This window comes from Homo sapiens, chromosome 7, assembly GCF_000001405.40.
Source record: "Homo sapiens chromosome 7, GRCh38.p14 Primary Assembly".
NCBI classification, from domain to species: domain Eukaryota; kingdom Metazoa; phylum Chordata; class Mammalia; order Primates; family Hominidae; genus Homo; species Homo sapiens.
Genome location: NC_000007.14, coordinates 81,831,494 through 81,846,622, shown reverse-complemented (window position 1 = coordinate 81,846,622; position 15,129 = coordinate 81,831,494). Strand labels below are relative to the sequence as shown.

General features: G+C 34.0%; 1 annotated feature.

Annotated features, from left to right (window-relative positions):
* Positions 791 to 870: an enhancer, noted in NCBI's record as "active region_26211". NCBI's record gives its function as "activates an Ori minimal core promoter by ATAC-STARR-seq in GM12878 lymphoblastoid cells {active_cell/tissue: GM12878}" and the evidence as "EXISTENCE:reporter gene assay evidence [ECO:0000049][PMID:35858748]".

Genomic DNA, 15,129 nt, shown 5'->3' with positions numbered 1-15,129 from the left:
CTCAAAGGGCAGTTGCTGCAGGAGCAACTGAGTCATCCTCCCAGTATTGTCTGTCCTAGATGCAGTGAACAGGAAGTGAAAGTTCAGTGTTGCTTACTGTCAATTACCATCCACATAAACAGACACAGGAAGATCAAGTCATGTTACTTTAGCCTTAGTGCCCTTGAATGTTTTGATAAATTTGTTAGCTATTTACTCAACATAAATATTCAACTTACGTACCCCATGGCCAAAATTTATAATTTTCCTTTTGAATTCTTTTTAAAAAGCATTCTGTGTTGCCACACGTTTATTTATTTTATTTATCTTTTTGTATTCACCAACATCCAAGCCCCTCGCCTCGCCTCACTTTCTGCTGATGGGAGGGGAAAGTCTCATCATCCAGACCCCTCATAAAGGTATACTTGGTGCCAGGGAGTAATCCCCTTGGGTCACTAATGGATATTCACACATCTGAGAATGCTGTTAAGAAGCTTCTGAAGTGGAATGCGATTCCAGCTGTAGCAATTACATACTGCTCATATTTCCTAGTTTAGACTCTGGGGAGTTCAACAACTGCCTATTAGCAAGCTGACGATGGAAAGAAGCGCTGTAAATCTCACAAGCAATGATAAAGCCGATGCTCCTGGAAGAAGGAGGAAAGACTGAATTGCAATTAAAAAACAGAACCATGAACCTTGGCCTTTTAAAAGAACAACACCCACAGTACGTTAATGAAGGACATGAGAGGATAAACTAAACTGTAAACATTTTTTATATCTCTCTTCGGTTATCATCTCTTGGTTGCAAGTGGAGTGAAAGAGGAAGCGAAACTTCATGAATCCAAATTAGTCTGTGAGATACATCTAAGTCTCCAATACCATATCATTTTGAACTTTTTCAAAGTTTTGTTTTACATATAATTTGGTCACTTAAGACAGAAAGTTTATAACTCTTATCATATAGGTATCATTAAAGAAGATAATTTAGGACTTAACCAAATAGCTGTCCAAAGAGGAGTTGAGTTTAATTGTTATAGAAACAAACACACTAAATATCTCACATAGAAAGTTTACTAAACATCTCACAGAGACAGCAGTATATTGAGCCTCATAACAATTTAAGAGCTTTTCTTGCTGTGTCCATTTGACAGATAAGGAAACTGATGTTTAAGAAAGGTTAAGTAGTTAATAGTAATCCCATGAACACAAAATGGCAAAAAAAGAATTGGAACTCCGTTCTTTCTGATTCCAAAAGGTGTTTTAATATTACCTTATATTTCTTACTGTGAATCAAACTGGTTCTATTTGGGGAATGAGACATAAATTTAAATACCTTCCTCCCAAAAAAGTATCAAATCACAGATAGTTTAATGTAACTAGATATGTTGTGTTTTATGATGAGAATATTACATTGTGAATTGGTAACATATCTTCTTCCATTGTTTAAACATAAGATAATTAAAACTTTGATTGCAAAAATTTGCTTCCATTCTATAGGTTGCCTGTTCACTCTGATAATAGTTTCTTTTGCTCTACAGAAGCTCTTTAGTTTAATTAGATCCAATTTGTCAATTTTGGCTTTTGTCACCATTGCTTTTGATGTTTTAGTCATGAAGTCTTTGCCCATGCCTATGTCCTGAATGGTATTGCCTAGGTTTTCTTCCAGGGTTTTTATCATTTTAGGTCTTACAATTTAAGTCTTTAATCCATCTGAGTTAATTTTTGTATAAGGTGTAAGGAAGGGATCCAGTTTCAGTTTTCTGCTTATAGCTAGCCAGTTTTCACAATACCATTTATTAAATAGGGAATCCTTTCCCCATTGCTTGCTTTTGTCAGATTTGTCAAAGATCAGATGGTTGTAGATGTGTGGCATTATTCTGAGGCCTCTGTTCTGTTCCACTGGTCTATATATCTGTTTTGGTACCAGTAACATGCTGTTTTGGTTACTGTAGCCTTGTAGAATAGTTTGAAGTCAGGTACCATGAGGCCTCCAGCTTTGTTTTTTTGTTTGTTTGTTTTTGCTTAGAATTGTCTTGGCTATATGGGCTCATTTTTGTTTCATATGAAATTTAAAGTAGTTTTTTCTAATTCTGTGAAGAAAGTCAGTCGTAGCTTGATGGGGATAGCATTGAATCTATAAATTACTTTGGACAGTATGGCCATTTTCACGATATTGATTCTTCCTATCCATCTGACAAAAGGCTAATATTCAGAATCTACAAAGAACTTAAACAAATTTACAAGAAAAAAAAAACCCCATCAAAAAGTGGGCAAAGGTTATGAATGGACACTTCTCAAAAGAAGACATGTATGCAGCCAAGAAACATACGAAAAACTCATCATCACTGGACATTGGAGAAATGCAAATCAAAACCACAATGAGATACCATCTCATGCCAGTTAGAATGGCAATCATTAAAAAGTCAGGAAACAACAGATGCTGGAGAGGATGTGGAGAAATAGGAAAGCTTTTACACTGTTGGTGGGAGTGTAAATTAGTTCAATCATTGTGGAAGACAGTGTGGCGATACCTCCAGGATCTAGAACCAGAAATACCATTTGACACAGCAATCCCATTACTGAGTGTATACCTAAAGAATTATAAATCACTCTACTGTAAAGACACATGCACATGTATGTTTACTGCAGCACTTTTCACAATAGCAAAGACTTGGAACCAACCCAAATGCCCATCAATGATAGACTGGATAAAGAAAATGTGGCACATATACACCATGGAATACTATGCAGCCACAGAAAAGGATGAGTACACCATGGAATACTACGCAGTCATAAAAAAGGATGAGTTCATGTCTTTGCAGGGACATGGATGAAGCTAGAAAGCATCACTCTCAGCAAACTAACACAGCGACAGAAAACCAAACACTTCATGTTGTCACTCATAAGTGGGAATTGAACAATGAGAACACATGGACAGAGGGAGGGGAACACCACTCACTGGGGCCTGTTGTGGGGTGAGGGGCTGGGGACGATAGCATTAGGGGAAATACCTAATATAGATGACGAGTTGACGGGTGCAGAAAACCACCATGGCTCGTGTGTACCTATGTAACAAACCTGCAGGTTTTGTACATGTATCACAGAACTTAAAGTATAATTTTTTTAAAATGTGAATACGATGGAAGTTCCCTCACCGTATCCCAAGTAGACTGATTGAATGGCTACAATGATTAATGACTGATGGAAAATATACCTTATGTGGGATGAAGGGAAGGAAGCTTGATATTTAGGCAGAAGAAAAGGCATAGGGATATGTAATATAATTCAAAAAAATAAAGAATTAAGCCATAAGAAAGATGAAGAAGAATATCTTGCTTATGTTATACTTTCCATAGTTCTCCTTATGTGTATTATCTTCTCTTATACTTAGAGTATTCCTGAGCATGAGTCCCTCTTTATAGAAGGCACAGAGCTCTTCAAATAAGAAAAAACAAAACAAACCGTCAATTGCCATACATAACAAAACAATCAAACGTTATTTTCTTTTCGATTGACCTAAAAGAGGTATTAAAATATGAGTATTTTTCAGATTGCTAATGTCTCATACTACCGATGCTAAGTTTGTTGAAAAGATTATTATATTCTTTATTGTTAAATGTACCAAAACAATACAATAATGTCAGATTAGATAGAAACTATTCTAGCTATAGCTACACAATAGCCTCAAACCATTTTAAAATGGGAAAAAAGAACTTATGAATTTATGCCTAAGTTTGTAGAGAATTATCTCTAAGCTGTATGATTTAATCATTTTTACAGCTTTTACAGTTTATAGCTTAATAGCTTGACTTTGTACTGCATTGACAGTAGGCAAAAAGCTTAATTAGTAAAGTTCCCAAATTACCAATAGCGTAGGAAGTACAAGTGAAAAACACATTTTCAAGCTGTGGAAGAACCTACCTGCTAAAACAATCATTTTGTCTCTCTGAAAATACTTTTGGTGCTGCACTGCAAGCAACTTTACAACATGTTTCTTTTGACCAAACTCTTTCAGTTGGTTGGCTTTAAGTAGAATTAGTGACTGCTGCCCTCTATATAATGGAAATTCCTGTTCCACTGCCAGGAATCCATTAAGATGGTTCAGGAAAAACAAGGACCAATCGTATCTTACAATTCCTAGTTTTATTTACTCGGTCTGTCTCAAATTAAAAAAAAAAAAAAAAAACAATGAAGACAGATGAAATACCCAAATAGTCTAAATTCTGTGTAAGTTAGATATGTGAAATTTTGCTTCTCCATTTTAAAGGACACTTTGGAATCACATTAAAAAATACTATCTAATAGTTTTTCACAGAAAATTATTAATTAGACCTTAAACTACAGTTTCAATAGATCACAATGGATTCTGAGATAAACGCCTGTGAGTGCTTCACGAAAGCCTAGAGAAATTATAAATAGTACAGTTTTAACACTATGTGTGATATATATGCATATATGCAAGAGTTTTTTTAAGATGGCATATTCAATGTAATATATTACATAATGGTAATTGAAATATGGTTTAATAACAATAACAAAGGGCTATATTACATGACACCCTTGGTAAATGATGCAGATTTGGGAGCAAGAAGGCCCCAGACTGCCTGGGTTTGTATCTAGATTTCCTAACTCTATGATTCCTAACTCTGTGACTCATTTTGTTTTGTTTTGTATTTTCTATCTGTAAATTACTGTTGACCAACAGTACCTACTTCACAAGGTTGTTACGATTATTAAAGGAGTTAATGGATGTAAAGTGCCTACCACAGTGCCTGGTACCTAATAAAGTACGGTACCTGTTAACTGTGTTGCTGTTGTTGCTTTAAGTTTTTTTTTTCTTTTGCTGTGCTCCTTTCTTCTTTTTATAAATATATTTATCTTGTCTGGTTAATATTTTGTCTAAGAGATTAATCTTGTTTAGGTGTTGTATTAGTCCATTTTCATAGGCTGGAAAGAATGGCCTGAGACTGGGTAATTTATAAAGGAAAAGAGTTTAATTGACTCACAATTCAGCCTGGCTGGGAGGCCTCAAGAAACTTACAACCATGGTGGAAAGCAAAGAGAAAGCAAGGCACATTCTTCACAAGGCAGTAGGAAGAAGTGCCAAGCTAAGGGGGAAGAGCCCCTTATGAAACCACCATCAGATCTCCTGAGAACTCACTTATCGTGAGAACAGCATGGGGGAAACCACTCCCTATGATTCAATTACCTCCATCTGATCTCTCCCTTGTCATGTGGGGATTATTGGGATTATGGGGATTGCAATGCAAGATGAGATTTGGGTGGGAACATAGAGCCTAACCATATTAGGTGTACATGTGGAAATATTATAAGACATTTATTAGAAAATAGTGTAAATCCATGTGCCTGTTTTGTATAAGTACCATGCCTCTGGCTTTGTTCTTTTTGCTTAGGATTGCTTTGACTATTCAGACTCTTGATTTCATATGAATTTTAGAATAGTTTTTTCTAATTCGGTGTACATTGATGGTTTGATAGGAATAGCATTGAATCTGTAAATTACTTTGGGCAGTATGGACCTTTCAATAATACTTGTTCTTCCTATCCATGAGCATGGAATATTTTTTCCTTTGTTTTTTGTTGTCTCTGATTTCTTTCAGCAGTGGAACAGGATAGAGGACCCAGAAGAAAAGCGACACACCTGCAAACATCTGATCTTTGACAAAGTCAACAATAACAACCAAAGGGAAAAGGACTCCCTATTCAATAAGTAGTGCTGGGATAACTGGCTAGCCATATGCAGAAGATTGAAACTGAACCCCTTCCTTTCACCATATAAAAAAGTCAACTTAAAATGGATTAAAGACTTCAATGTAAGCCCTAAAATTATAAAACCCTAGGATAAAACCTAGGAAATACCATTTCAGACATTGGCATTGGCAAAGAATTTACAACTAAGTCCTCAAAAGCAATTGCAACAAAAACGAAAATTGACAAGTGGAATTTAATTAACTAAAAAGAGATTCTGCACCTCAAAGGAGACTATCACCAGAGTAAACAGAGATCTACAGCATAGGAGAAAATACTCGCAAACTATACAACTAACAAAGGTCTGATATCCAGAATCTATAAGGAAGTTAAACAACTCAACAAGCAAAAACCAAACAAGTTCATTAAAAAATAGGTAAAGAGCATGAATAGACACACTTCTCAATAGAAGACATACATGTGGCCAATAAATATATTTAAAAATGCTCATGATCACTAATCATTAGAGAAATCAAATCAAAACCACTATAAGATGCCATCTCACACCAGTAAGAATGGCTGCTATTAAAAAGTAAAAAAAAAAAAAATAACAGATGCTGGTGAGGTTTCGAAAAAAAGGGAACACTTATACACTACTGGTGGAAATGTAAATTAGTTCAGCCACAGTAGAAAGCAGTGTGGAGATTTCTCAAAGAACTTAAGACAGAACTACCATTTGACTCACCAGTTTCGTTACTGGGTATATACCCAAACAAAAATAAATCTTCCTACCAAAAATATACATGAACTCATATGTTCATTGCAGCATTATTCACAATAGCAAATACATCGTATCAACCTAGTTGTCCATCAGCAATGGATTAGATAAAGAAAATGTGGTTCATATATACTGTATTAGTTCATTTTCGCATTGCTGAAACATACCCGATAAACACACCTGAGACTGGGTAATTTAAGAAGAAAAAAAGGTTTAATAGACTTACAGTTCCACATGACTGGGGAGACCTCACAATCATGGCAGAAGGTGAAAGGCATATCTTATGTGGTGGCTGGCAAGAGAAAGTGATAACCAAGTGAAAGGGGTTTCCCTTTGAAAACCATCAGATCTGTGAGACTTATTTACCACCATGAGAACAGTATGGGGGAAACCGCCCCTGTGATTCAATTATGTCCCACTGGGTCCCTCCCACAGCACATGGGAATTATGGGAGCTATAACTCAAAATGAGATTGGGGTGGGGACACAGCCAAACTGTATCATACACCATGGAATACTACGCAGCCATACAAAATAATGAAATCACGTCCTTTGCAGCAATATGAATGCAGCTGGAGGCTGTTATTCTCAGAGAATTAATGCAGGAACAGAAAACCAAATACTGCATGTTCTCACTTATAAGTGAGAGCTAAATATTGAATACCCATAGACACAAAGATGGGAACAATAGACACTGGGGACCACTTTAGGTGGGACAGCGGTAGCATAGCATGGAGTGAAAAGATACTTATCAGGTACTACGCTCACTCCCTGGGTGAGGGAATTATTTGTATACCAAACCTCAGCAACATACAATTTACCCATTTAAGAAACTTGCACCTGTGCCCACTGAACCAAAAATAAAAGTTGAAAAACAAAAAAAAAAGAAAAAAAGTGTGTAAGTAATTTATAGTAGCTGTCCTCACATTACATAGAATCTAGTGAGTGAAATGAGAAAAAAATAGAACTTACGAATATGTAATTAAGTTTGTAAGGATTGTAAGCCAATAACATACAAGTCAATGCATAATCACTAACTGTGAGATGTGATATGAAATAGCAATATAGAATCAATGATAAACTGATTGTCTTCAGAGTTCACTGATCAGCCAAAGAGGCTTAATGAAAACAAACAAAGCATGTCTCATTCTAAAAATTTTTTCATGAAATAAAGTAAATGATATTATGAAGAGTTTAACTATGAAACACATATACATAGTAACAAAAATGCTGTTCAACTTTAATATGCCTGTTTAAATCTACCATGTATATGCAAACATTTCTAATGTTTATAAACATATACTTTGTATCCTGCTTTTGTACCGATTATTTGTCAAATATGTTGGGTCAGGTTTCTGCAAATCTTCCTAATTGCATTTTAATGGCTTCATAATATTTATGAAATGGTATAATCTCTTATTGTTGGACATATAAGCTGGTTTTAATATTTTACAATTATAAATTATGATCCAATAAGATAGTTCTGTAGACTTCTCTTATTTTGAATTCTTTTCTTTGGATCAACTATTAAAAGTGAAATTATTAGGCCCAAATGTATGAATTATTTTTTTTGAACCAATTTTTTTTTCACAATTGAACTGATATTAAAGTATGTTACAATGATGAAGATAATGTTTGATCTGTGTGAAAAATTCAAGCAGTATAAAAATGTATGAAATAAAACTAAATTAAATATTCTAATTTCTTATCCCTCAGTGATTAATCATTTTATGTGTATTCTTCCAGACTTTGTTTTAATAATTAGAAATTATACTCCATAACGTAGTCTATACACTTGATATAACAACATGCTTTATTTTACTTCCTGTCTTTTAAACATCTGTTCATTAACTGTAGTCATAAGTTAAACTTTTTAATGACTGTATAATATTTTCCTGTATGGTTGTGTTATACTTTGTTCATGAAAAATCCATCACTGATGGTCATTCAGGTTGTTTCCAAATTATAGCTATAATGTTTCAAGAAACAAGCATAGATGTGTTTTTTCAGACTTGTCAAATTATTTCCTTTTAAAAAATTCCTAGACATAAATTCACTGAATAGAAATTGTTGTGCACTCAGAATTTAAAATCTTTTTACCAAATTGTGCTACAGAAATGTTCTAATTTATATCAACAGTATTTGGAATGTCGTTATCACTAGGCCTCTGCAATTGTCCTCAGTTTGATTGGTTGGTTAAAACCGTAATTCTTGGATTATTAATGAGGTAAAACATAGTAGCATTTGTCAAGTATGTTTTTTAACCTTCTTAGTGGTGACTTTTGTCATACAGTGTAGGATTTTTATTTCTATATTTCTATGTTAACAGATCTATCAGTCCTTCCCTTTCTAATGTCTGACCTAGATTTCTTTTTACAAATACAGACTCTCCCTACATTAAGTAGGAATGTTGCCATAGGAGGGAGAGGAAGAGAGAGTGGGTAATCAAAAGCAAAAGATAACATCTATTTTAAGCTTATTATCATAAGCTTAAAATAGATAAAAATAGTCTCCTGAATTTTCTTAAGATTTTATGGTTTCGTACGTAAATCTAAACCTTTAATCAAACTGGAATACATTTGTGTATGTGTGTCCGTGTGTGTGTGTATGTATGTGTGTGTGCAACATGGGAGGGGGTTAACTTCATTTGTTTGAATGTTTTTTACAGGTTTTCAATTATAATTTTATTATATGTGAAGTTATTGCTATAATTTCTTTTTATGTCTGTTCATCTCTGTTTATTTTGGCTTCTTCCTGCAATAAAAAGGGCTTATCTGATTTGTTTTATTATCTGATAGGCAGATCCTTTGCATTATACCTCTAAAAATTGCCCTATTTTCTGGAATTTATTTTAAAAATAAAATACCATATTAAATAGTTAAGGGTCACATCCTAATAGCGGAATTGTGATAACATGGAATTGTAATCATTATTTGCAAAAAAAACTTACACCTTTACTGATTAGGTCTCTCCATCCAGGCACAATATAAACCCAATAATTCACGTTTGAGTTTGTTTTTGTCATTGAAATTTTCTCTCCTTTGCTCCTTCATATCTCACTTGTTTAGTTCTTTGGTTATAATCACTAAAATTACCGTAACAAACAATTTCAAATCAATTGAACCTTTATAGGGTATCTCTATAAACAAAGAAAAATAATGAATTTAGGAAAAATAGATGGCCAGAGTAACTCTGAAGATCTAGATAGCAGCATGTGAGGGGCATCTTTAGTTCTGCACCATAAAATTGGGATGTTGCCATAGGAAGGGGAGGAAGAGAGAGTGGGTAATCAAAAGCAAAAGATAGCCTCTATTTTAAGCTTATTATCTTGATTATCAGTGTGAATCAAATAAGGCATTTTAACTTGTGATAAGTTGGTTATTTCTTGAATTAAGTAAATTTATAATTTTTAAAATATTGCTTTAATAATTTTTTTTGTATTCTTTCAATCATTGGAATCTATCTTCTTGAATTTTCTAGGCATTCAATAATATTATCTGTAGGTACTGCTTGTTTTGTCTCTTCCGTATAAAACTCATGTTAATACATATTTTCTTGTCTTATTACATTATAGAATATAACCTAATATACTGGTAATTTTCACACTTTTAAATTTCTAATTTTAACAGAAATGCCTCTAGTAGTTCATTATTCAACATGATTTTGTGCATGTTTTTATATCAAGTATATAGACTTTACATTATGGAGTATAATCCCTAATTATAAACACACACACATACACAAATGCTTTTTACCATATTAATAAAGATTATTTCAATCACTAGACTAGGATTGCTTGTTTATTTATTTATTTATTCATTTATTTATTATTTTTTTTGAGACAGAGTCTTGCTCTGTCACCAGTCTGGAGTGCAGTGGCGCGATCTCGGCTCACTGCAACCTCCATTTCCCGGGTTCAAGTGATTCTCCTGCCTCAGCCTCCTGAGTAGCTGGGACAACAGGTGTGCACCACCATGCCCAACTAATTTTGTACTTTTAGTAGAGACAGGCTTTCACCATGTTGGCCAGGATGGTCTCAATCTCTTGACCTCGTGATCTGCCCACCTCAGCCTCCCAAAGTGCTGGGATTATAGGCATGAGAATTGAATTTTTAAATTAGAATTGTATATTAATTTTTTTGAAATGCTGTTTGGGATGTATTGAGATCTAGTTGTTTTTATTGTTTAATAAAATGAGATATTATCATCAGATTGCTTTTGTTGAATTATCCATCTGCTTATGAAATAAAACCTTTTTCATGATTATTATTTCAGTAAGAGCATTAGAATCGTTCATACTTTATTGTAGCATTTGCATAGACAATTGTAAGTAGGCTTTACACATAATTTTGTTATAGCCATTTTGGTAGTTTTTAGTTTTGGAATTTCATTTCTCTTTGAATATAAACTAAGAATGTGCTTTCTAATCATTATTTTTCTCTATGCCAGGGTTTCTCAACGTTGGCACTTTTGATTATGGGGTTGATAATTTTTTGCTGTAGGGGCTGTCCTATGTGTGACAAAATGTTGAGCAGCATATCTAGCCTGTACCTACTAGAAGCCATTAGGAACACCTAACCCCACTTCCTGTCACCTTGCCCAGTTGTAACAATCAAAAAAGTTTTTCAGACATTGACAAATGTCCTTTGGCAAACAATCACCTCCGGTTGAAATCCACTGGTGTGTGTTTTGGAAAAGTTTAATGTTTTTCAAAATTTATCTAGGGGACTATTTGAACTTGGTACCTTCTATGGAGTGGCATGGGGTTGTTAGCAAGTTCTGTGAATTCTACAACTCAAATATTTAGTTAGACCACTTATACCAGATTCTTATCATTTCTGCCTGAACTATTTGATTTTATTGATTAATAAATTGTAACTAAGAGTTTTAAAATGCCGCAATTCAAATTTACCTTTGAACATTAAAATATTAACCCAGAGAATTATTTATAGAGGAGAGCCACAAGTCGCTATCCAAGTTTGCTTTACTTTGTAGATAATCAGGGGATAATTATCTATATTTCAGAAGCTTTAAAACTAGAATTCATAAGTAAAATGCTGAGTGACTAAATCAAGGTTGAAAGGGGTTTATAAAGTGAAAGGAAGAATTTCGGTAAATGTGGTAGGAACATTTGTAAAGTTCTTGGTTCAAAAATTCCAAGCATCAGCTGTAGTTTAGTGCTAAAGTGAGCAGCATGGAGGTTGATGGTAATTGAAAGGAAAGAACATTTGGAAAACGTGAACCGTGTAAAGGTCTTTTGTGAAAATTTTGGGAATGTAACACTATGCTAATATAAAACTAGTTATACAGTATACTTACATTACTGAGTATACCACTGATATATATTATTATTTATAATTAAAACAAATTTTAACTGTTACAGTACAAAGAATCACTTAACTATTTGCACAAAAAAGTAAGTGTGATATATTTAACAGAGCACCATGCAGATAAGTATTAATGCCTAGGAACTTCATCTGGCCCTGTCTGCTAGATACAGGGTTGACTTTGGGGGATGAGAGTCCTTTGCAGGGGCTGGCACATCCACCCAAGAGATAGAACAGAAACAATGGTAAAAGGCAATGTCAGACTAACAGGCAAATCTAGCCATAAGATTCATTTTGAAATAGACACAAGCTTGCTGTCTAAAGCCAGTAACAGTATCAGTTACTCTGCTAGGGTGTAGGGACCAGGCACATGTACTGATATGGCAAAATATAAAGCAGGAGCTTCTGCATAGGTATTAATAAATAGGCAAAGATCAAATCATCAGAATAAAGATTCAAGTGAGAATAAGGTAAAAGCTGTTATTAGAACATAGCTGTGGGTCATTGCAGGGGTGACTTATGTTTAGTCTCACAGTTAGCTAGAGCTCCAAGTATCCCACTAGGATGTAGGGAAATGTTGAGTCTGCAGGTGGTTTTCAAGGAATTCCAGCTGTGTGGCATGCAGGGCTTCAGCCTTGAGAATTTTACTTGATGGTGAATTCACTGTAAGCTTACTTGGGATGTCAAAAAATGTAATGCAATTTTTATTTTTATATAGCAATATAACATCAGAATCAAAGAGGGTGGTCTAAAAGTGGTCTATTGTGCTTAGTTCTGGATATGAAATTTTATGAGACATAGTGACATACAGTTTCAGGACAAATTTAATAGCCTGAGGTGCCAGGTTTGTAATGTAAAGGAGTGAAGTGGACCCAGAATTAAAAAGAGAAAAAGACAGAGAAAGAAAAACAAAGAAAGAACCACAAGATACTAAATGACAACTGCTGCTTGGCCTTCCTTAGTGTGGAAAAGGCAGTAAGAACTGGTGAAGTGTGTGGTGGACTGGGTACTGCCCTAGTTATGGGGCAACTACTCCAATAAACATGGGGACTTCATTCTTGGGACCCTTAAATTCTTAGCAAAATGTGGTAAACATGTATTCTTGTTTAGTATCTTGTGACTTTTAATCTTGCCAAGTGATTTTTTTTAAAACTCTTGTGGGCCAAGAGAAATATTTTGCAAGCATGGACCACCAATCTGGAAATATTTCTCAGAGTAGCAGGTAGAAAATGCAAGTCATGACTTTCCCCTCAAGAAGAAATACCACAGGAATGTTTAGCTCAGAGACAGATTGAATGAAGACATGCCTCTCTAGGACATTGAATTCAGTTTTCCAAACTTTAAAGTTTTATAGCTTTAAGTTGATTGATAACAGCACTATTCCTGGAATGTAAATAATTGGACTATTTTGGATATGTACTCCTTATCACTATCATTTATTTAATTCCAATGTGCAAAGGACATTTGCTACTTCCAAACATATTTCTTATATTGGTATCATTTTTAAAAAATATGTATTATCACTTTTGCTTCGATTTTCTTTGACCATTTAATCATGAGTTTGCAATTTGGTTCATATTTCAATGACAGCTCACAAATGGGAAGCATCATGAGCCTGTGGTAGAAATTACAGGATTTGAAAGCTGATGGAGGTTAAAATTATGGGTCCTCCACTTAGTACTTGAGTAAATTGAAAATTTGTATGTCCCTTAGTTTTCCTGTCTAGAAAAAATATTTTCTGAAATGTTTCTTCTGAATCTATGCTGAATTTCACATCTATAAAACAATGCACATGTCTACTATGAAGGGTTAAAATATGTAAGTTAATTGATGTAAAATGGCTAGCCCATTTTTGCCTTAGAGTTTGCATCATATATTTACCAGTAACCCAAATTCAGCTTCAAATAAAACTATATTGCTTCATGGGTAATGCAAGTACCTTATAACAGGATCTTCCCAATTCTTTCATCCCATCCCTTATAATCTTGCTGTCATTAATTTTACTTTTCCATAAGCTATAATGGTCAAGTACATTGTATTATTTTGGACAATATGTCATCTGTTAAATCAATTAAGAATGAGAAAAATGAAAGATTTTGTACTACCTTCACTTACTCCTTCTCTAATGCTCTTCCTTTTTATAGCTTTGAGTTTCTCTAATACTTCCTTTATATAGCTTATAAAGCTTTCTCTAATGCTTCCTTTATACAGCTTTGAGTTTCTTGAATGCTCTTCTTTTATATAGCTTTGTGTTTCTATATAATTTCTTTCTCCCTGAAGTAGTTCTCTTAACATTTCTTGCACAGCAGATCTACCACTGATAAATGCTATCCATTTTTGTTTGTCTGAGAGACTCTTTATTTCTCTTTTACTTTTGAAGGGTAATTTTTCTGGATACAGTATTTTATGTTGATGGTGTTTTTAAAAAATACTTTAAATATTTCTCTCCATGTTCTTTTTCTTTGGATGCTTTCTGAGGTTTCTGAATATAATTGTAATTCTAATCCCTATTCCAAAGTAGGTAAGATAGTATTTTTCCCCTCTACCTTCTTTAAGATTTTCTCTTTGTCTTTGATTTTCTGTAGTTGGAATATGATGTACCTAGGTATAGAATTTTTGAAATTTGTTTGGCTTGATGTTTTCTTAGCTTTCTAGATCTATGGCTTGGTGTCATTAATTTTGGAAAATTCTCAGCCATGACTACATGAATTTTTTTTTACTCTTTTCTCTGGCATTTCCATTATACATATGTTATACCTTTTGTATTTATCTCAGTAATTGGAAATTCTATTCTATCTTTTTCATTATTTTTTTCTCTTTGCATTTCAGTTTTAGAGGTTTCTATTGACACATATTCAAGGTTACTGATTTGCTCTACAACTGTGTCCAGTCTATTGATGAACCAATCAAAGGGACTCTTCATTTCTAGCATTTTCTTTTGATCCTTTCTTAGAATTGTTATCTTTTTGTTTATGGTACCCATTATCTTGTAACTTGCTTACTTTTCCATTAGAGCTATTAGCATATTAATCATAGGTATTTTAAATTCCCAATGTGATCATTCTAAAACCTTTGCTATATCTGGTTGTCTTTCTGATGCTTGCTTTGCCTAATCAAAGTGTAATTTTTGTCTTTTAGCATGCCTTGTAATTTTTCATTGAAAGCATGACATGATTACATGCCAAAAGGAACTGATATAGAAAGGTCTTCAGTGTGAAGTTTTATGTTTTTCTGTCTGAGGGTTAGGCCGTGTTCAGCTTTGCTATAGCTTTGGTGTCAGAAACTAACATTTTCTTTAACGTCCATGATTTTGCCTCCCCTGTGATTCTTAGGTTT